This window comes from Homo sapiens, chromosome 9 (genome assembly GCF_000001405.40).
Source record: "Homo sapiens chromosome 9, GRCh38.p14 Primary Assembly".
Taxonomy (NCBI): domain Eukaryota; kingdom Metazoa; phylum Chordata; class Mammalia; order Primates; family Hominidae; genus Homo; species Homo sapiens.
In genome coordinates, this window is record NC_000009.12 from 114,880,022 (window position 1) to 114,887,122 (window position 7,101).

General features: G+C 39.6%; 1 annotated feature.

The window, feature by feature from the left end:
• Positions 308 to 602: a silencer, noted in NCBI's record as "tiled region #6981; HepG2 Repressive non-DNase unmatched - State 23:Low". NCBI's record gives its function as "represses a minimal TATA promoter and a strong SV40 promoter by Sharpr-MPRA in HepG2 cells {active_cell/tissue: HepG2}" and the evidence as "EXISTENCE:reporter gene assay evidence [ECO:0000049][PMID:27701403]".

The following is a 7,101-nucleotide window of genomic DNA, read 5'->3' on the forward strand; positions in this document are numbered from 1 at the left end:
TGATGGGAGTGGTTTTGTAGGGAGAAAGGAAGGACTGACTCTATTCCAGGAGAGAACATAACTAAGGAGGTACAGTCTTTTAGAAGGCAGGGATGAATTCATGGGATGGAATTCAGTGCCCAAGAGGAGAGTTGGCCTTCATTAGGCCTGGGGACACATCCTCCACCATAACAGGTTAAAAAGAAGAGAAGGTGAGTACAGATATTGTAAGCTTGAGCATGGGTGGTGAGAAGCTCAGAGTTTGCTTCTGGTGAATTCTGTTTTTTTCTTAAGTATGAGGAAAGAAATGATATATGTAGGAGGAGATGTGGGAGAGAGAAGTTATTCACCTTGGGGAGTGGGAAGGTGATCCTGTCAGAGAAAGATGATCAGCTCTCTGTGCAGTGGTAAAGCCCTACTAATTCTTGGGATCACCACATTAACAAGAAACCCATCATCTCAGTTGTGCAATTGTTTCCTCTAGCAACATACAGCTGCTTGGGGTCAGCCTCAAGGAGGAAGATGTCTGGTGTTTGCAGGAAAGTATGATGAAGGAGGATATGAGTGAATGAGTTGGTAGGATTTGCCAGGAAGTAACTGAAATGATTATTCATGAAATCTAGGATGAACAAGAGGGAAGAGAAGTCAGGAGAGCCATGAGAAAATTGTGGGGACAGGAGGATGACGTCAAAGATTTGTGGTGGGAGTGGTGGGGCTGTTCTGCAGCATGTGATCTGGACTGATGGAAGGTGGTGGTCAGGGAGTGGGATGTTTAAGCTGACATTTCACAGGTGATATTGTTTCTGCTGATGAGAAGATTCAAGCTGTGACTGTCGGAGTGGGCAGATGAGATAGAGTGGAGGAAAAGGTGGAATGGGAATGGCAACACCAGGGTGCTGGATGTTGAGACCAGTGATGATAATGACAGGAGTTGGGGTGGACAGAAAACTGAGCCAAGAGTTCAGGTTGTCAGGATTAGGGGTTGTGGTCGGGATGTCAGTAGTTTATAGCAACAATGAGAGGCTGTGAGTTTGCAAGAGCTTGAGTGTTTTATAAGAGCAAGGGGGAGAGATAGTATATACGGAAGAAGAAATGCAGAGCACAGACAGCTACCCCATCTCAAGACTATGAGGTTGTGAGTTATGAGAAAACAAACAACCTTCCTTTTGAGAGGGCTACAGGAGAAATGCTGTCTCAGAGAACAGCCAGATTTCAACTAAGGCAAAATATGTAAAAAGAACTTACTAAGAAAAGGGTGGAAATTTAGGGTGTTTGCTGATCCCAGAGCAGGCATCCAGAGGGTTACAGTGAGAGGATTTGTGGGGCAGGAGTTGGGTTAGGTTAGAGTTAGGTTAGAGAATGTTACAAAGCACCATGAAGATGTGAGTCCCCTTACTCAATGTTTTCACTGTAGAACCAAGCTTACAAACTAGACTAACTCATGGGTAACTGGCCATTCTGTAGGATTGGTTAGGAGTAATCTGTTTCTGGTCAAATTCTCTAAAAGTCAGGCCGTGATGATGTGAATATAGAGTGTGGCTTTCTATGCTTAGGAAGTTACCCAGAACTATTTCCCTCAGCAAGGGTTGTGGACAGGGCAGGTACTCCTAGGGCAAATGAATTCCTGTGCAAAATGTAACCAGTTCCAACCCCTTTTCAAAGCAGAATTTTTCTCTATGGCATGGTCAGTATCTTGTGTTTAAACATATTTAATTAATGTGACATTATTAGTAGAGTCTAGTTCATATTAGTGTTGGCAATTATCAGCATAAATGTATTATTATGTTATCTTAAAAAGGCCATATAAAATGTCAATAAAACACCATTTCTCCCTTTAGATTAGCAAAAGTAATAAAGATTGGTAGCATCCATTGCTGGTGAAGGTGTGGGAAATGGATTCCACTATATACTACTGGATGGGTACTGAATTGTTTCAAAATTGTGGAGAATAATTTGTGACATCTGTTACAATTTCAAATGCCCATATCCACTGACACTGAATTCCACTTTGAGAAATCTAATCTACAAAAAATTCTCATTGTATTTTAGGTGCATAAAGTTATATTTTGGGGAATGCTGATTGTAGTACTGTCGAAATAGCAAAAAATTGAGAATAGCCTGCTTGTCTATCAATGGAGGAATGGTTTTAGAATTATGTCTTTTTACCAAGAAATGCTAGACAGCCAAGAATTTGATGCACGACAATTATGGTAAAAAAATTTGCTTGTTCTACAGAAGATCATTAATGTTTTGTGACTATATAAGCTGTAACAGTGGATTGTTTTCATGTGTAGGTGCTATTGTTAAATACAGGGACTGTTTCCAGGTACAGAATATGAATCATAAGTTTGGGTGGGCCGGGCACGGTGGCTCACTCCTGTAATCCCAGCACTTTGGGAGGCCAAGGCGGGCGTATCACGAGGTCAGGAGATCGAGACCATCCTGGCTAACATGGTGAAACCTCATCTCTATTAAAAATATGAAAAAATTAGCCAGGCATGGTGGCGGGCACCTGTAGTCCCAGCTACCCAGGAGGCTGAGGCAGGAGAATGGCATGAACCTGGGAGATGGAGCTTGCAGTAAGCCGAGATGGTGCCACTGCACTCCAGCCTGGGCGACAGAGCAAGACTCTGTCTCAAAAAAAAAAAAAAAAAAAAAATTTACGATGGACATTGGATACGATTGTGATGAAGGTCTGCGGTCCTAGAGCTACAGATGCATGGTAAGAAATTAGAACAAACTGGAGATGGGCCATGGACTCTGCCTAGGAGTGTTAGGAAAATACTTTGACTCCAAGCCTTAAAATACTCACATGGAGTTGGCGCTCACCTCATTCACACAATCATAGAGCTCCCTGGACACTGAACCTCTAAAGGGAAAAGGTCTACCTTGGAGCAGGAGCATCAGGGTTTGCTTGGGAGCATGAGAGTCGAGCTCAGGGCTAGGCCTGGGCCAGGCCCCGGCAGCACTGCTACTTGGGAGGAGCCACTTCACTTTCGTATTAGTTATTAAAAATAGAATTTAGGCCTGGCACGGTGGCTCAAACGTGTAATCCCAGCACTTTGGGAGTCTGACGCGGGCGGATCACTTGAGGTCAGGAGTTTGAGACCACCCTGGCCAATATGGTGAAACCCCATCTCTACTAAAAATACAACAAAATTAGCCGGGCCTGGTGGCACGTGCCTGTAATCCCAGCTACTTGCGAGGCTGAGGCAGGAGAATAGCTTGAACCCCGGGAGGCAGAGGTTGCAATGAGCCCAGATCACGCCACTGCACCCCAGCCTGGGCAGCAGGATGAGACTCCGTCTCAAAAAAACAAAAACAGAAACAAAAACAAAAAACATAGAATTTGGATCCTTCGGTCAGGTTCTCCGAAATTCTTTTGAGGTGTCCATGGTCAACTGCTTCAGCTTTGTTTTGGTAACCCCCTGTCTGAAGTTGCATACAGGCTGTTCTTCACCTTGTTTCCAAGGCTGAGGAACAGAAAGTAGCCTCTGTTTTGAAGAGGTGGAAGTTAAGTATACATTTATTTTTTACTGTGACTTGTTCAGGACCACATTTTACAAAATGCCTTGTTTCCTTTATTGTTTTTGCAAAGGAAAGTTCTATTAATATTGTTTTACTTTGAATATAGAATAGTCTTTTAAATTAGGGCTTATTTTGAAAAATTCTGACTTTAATTCAAATGTATGCCAATACCTTCCAAAGTAAGGTAATATTCAGAGACAGTTGTTTTGCTCAGAAGCTACAAATATTATTCTACCCATCTTTTTTGTTGACATATGACCTCACTTCTACAAATATGCCTCGGAGTAGCATGGTTGGATCATAAGGCAAGCATATGTTTAGCTTTAGTAGGTATTGCCAAACAGGTTTCCAAAATGATTGTAACACTTTCACTTCCTCCAGCAATATATGAGGTTTCCAGTTGCTTCACTTCCTCACCAACACTTGATATTGTCAGTCATCTCAATTTTAGTAACTTGGTGGGTGTGTAGTAGTTTTAATTTGGTGGTTATATGGCTTTAATTTGCATTTCCCTGATGACTAATGATACCATCAGGGAATCATTAGCTACTGGACATATGGATAGTGTGTTTTTTGAAGTCCTATTCAATTGTTTTGCTCATTTTAAAATTAGGTTGATTTGTCTTTTTAATTGATTTATAGGAATTTTTATACATAATATTGTGAATATGACTCCTTTGTCACAGAGCAAAGTTTTTTCCAATCTGTGGCTTTTCTACTCACTTTCATAATGGTGTCCTTTGATGAGCAGAAGGTCTTAATTGTAGTGAATAGCATTTCATTACTTTTATGGTTTGTGTCTTTCATATTCTGTATAAAATATTTTATCTATTTCAATATTATGAAAGTACTCTCCTATACTTTATCTCAGAAGCTTTATTGTCATGCTGTTTACATTTATATCTGTAATCTATCTCAAATTAATTTTTATGTATGGTGTAAGGTGGGGGAGTCAAAGTTGATTTGTTTTACAGATATAATTATTCCAACAGCATTTATTAAAAAGGGCATTGTTTCTACACTGAGACTTTTGTCACAATTCAGATGATAATACCTGTGTTGATTTATTCCATTGACTATATTTTCTATTCTTATGCTAACACCCACAGTATTTTGATTACCTTTGCTATATAGTTAAGTTGACATCTGATAGTAATGTTACTGGCAGTGAACCCATGTAGGTCTATAGAATCCTCAATTCTTGCCTCCTCAGAAGAAAGAATTCAACAGAGGAGCACAAGGCAGGAGAGACTGAGGAAAGTTTTAGAGCAAGAGTAAAAGTTTATTAAGAAACTTTAGAGCAGGAATGAAAGGAAGGAAAGACAGTACACTTGGAAGAGGACCAAGCGGGCGACTTGAAAGACAAGTGTGCGGTTTGACTTTTTGACGTTGTTTTACTTTGGCATACTTTGGTTTTATGTTTAACTTTGGCTTTATATGTTGGCATACTTCCGGGGTCTTGCGTCACTTCTCCTTTGATTCTTCCCTTGGGTTGGGCTGTCTGCATGCACATGCTTGAGTCCACTTTCCCAACTCCAGGAAGCTGCTGATCACTAGTTTCAGGTGTTTTCTATGTAGCAGGAGATGGCCTTTCCCTGGCACTGGCTGTGACCAATTATTATTTTAGAGAGACAGTTAACAACGGCCTGACCATTACTGACCATTACCTGATTGTCACCTGACATTCCTGATGTGTGTGACAGGAGGTGGGGGGGGAGTGTGAAGTCGGAGAGAGCCCTCTTCTACCCTGCTTATGCCTGATGAGCTACCTACTATAACAGTAAGACTTGCAATTTGCTCATTTTCTTCAAACCTATTTTGGCTATCCTAGGTTCTTTGTATTTCCAAATAGATTTTACAAACATTTTGTCATTTTCCATACAAAAAAACCTGTAGTGATTTTAACTGTGATAACATTGATTCCATGGATCAATTTGGGGAGGATTTACATTATTTTATATTTAATCTTCCAACTCATGTGTGTGCCATCTCTCTCCACTAGGTCTCTACTTTCTCTCAGCAATATTGTATAATTTTCAGTGTAGAGGGTTTTACATTTTTCATCAGATATATTCCTAGGTATGTGATATTTTTGAGTGCTATTGTAAATGGTTTATTTTTCTAAATTTTATTTTCTAGTTGTTTGTTGATAGTATAAGAAATAGAATTAAGCAAATAACACAGGAACAGAAAACGAAATACCACAAATTTTTACTTATAAGTAGGAGCTAAACATTGAGTCCACATTGACACAAAAAAAGGGAACAATGGGCACTGGGGCCTACTTGAAGGTGGAGGGTGGGAGGAGAGTGAGGATCTAAAAACTACCTTTGCCTAGTACCTGGGTGATAAAACGATCTTTGCACCAAACCCTCATGACATGCAATTTACCTGCATAAAAAACCTGCACATGTACCTCTGAAACTAAAATAAAAGTGAAAAAAGAAACGGAATTGATTTTTGTATATTTACTTCATATCTAGCAACTTTGCTAAATTCATTTGTTTATAAATCTTTTGTATTATAATTTTTTAACTATAATATTTGTACCATCTGTTAATATACAAGTGTCACTTCATTTATCTTTATATAATTTATTTCTTTTTCTTTATTTCTCTGGCTAGGACCTCCAGTTCAATGTTGAATAGGATTGATGCTAACGGACATTTTTATCTTGTTCCTAACCAGAGGGAAAACCTTCTATATTTCACCACTGAGTATGATTTTAGTGTAGGTTTTTAACATATATGGTTCTTTTGTTTCTTAGTATAAACTATTTAAAGAGGGATGACTGTTGACGAGAAACACTTCTTCTGTTTTCTAGCAGTTTCTTTCACATGAAGGAAGCTCAGTTAGTTTAACTCCATGTCTTTCTTTGCTTTTGTTCACTTTGTCACAGGGATGGTGGAATAACTTATCTGCTTCATAAATCTGGGAGGAAAAGAGCAGGCATGTTCCTTTCAACTGCTCTCTTTATCTTTCTCTTAGGAATCCCCTGTACTTGCCCAGGATTCAGTGATGCTATGACAGGCAAGCCTACCTAGATCTGAGATTCAGCTAGCAGAGCTGGTCTTTCTGGCTCTGAAGCTAAGCTGCATCCTCCAACTTAACCTTTCATAGTCATGAAGTTGATATTTTAATTTCCTATCTGCCTTAATATTTGTTTTACTCTTCAGTTTGTTCAAGAGCCTGAATGCAGAAAGAGGTAGCTCTCACCACTTCTGAAACTTTAATAGCGGTATTAAGAGATACTTTTACCTTTATTAGTTTCATTATATTCAGTATTTTAAAATAAAACAAATTTTAAATAAACTAGTCACAAAGAAGTTTTAACATCTGTCAAAGAAATATATTTTTAAAGTATGATCTTCATGGGCCATTTAAGCCTCCTTCCTCTTCTGCTTATCCAGCTCTCTTTCCATTACCCTTTCCTTCTCCATGTTCTTCCTGCTGTACCTTAGCCAAGCTTCATCCCTGACAGAAAGCTACACAGTACCCTTCCCTCTTTGAAGTCCTAGACTTTTTTCTCAGCACCATCAGATCGGCACAGCTAATTTCTCCTGTAGATCTTTCTTCCCTGGCTGGCCAAGGGTG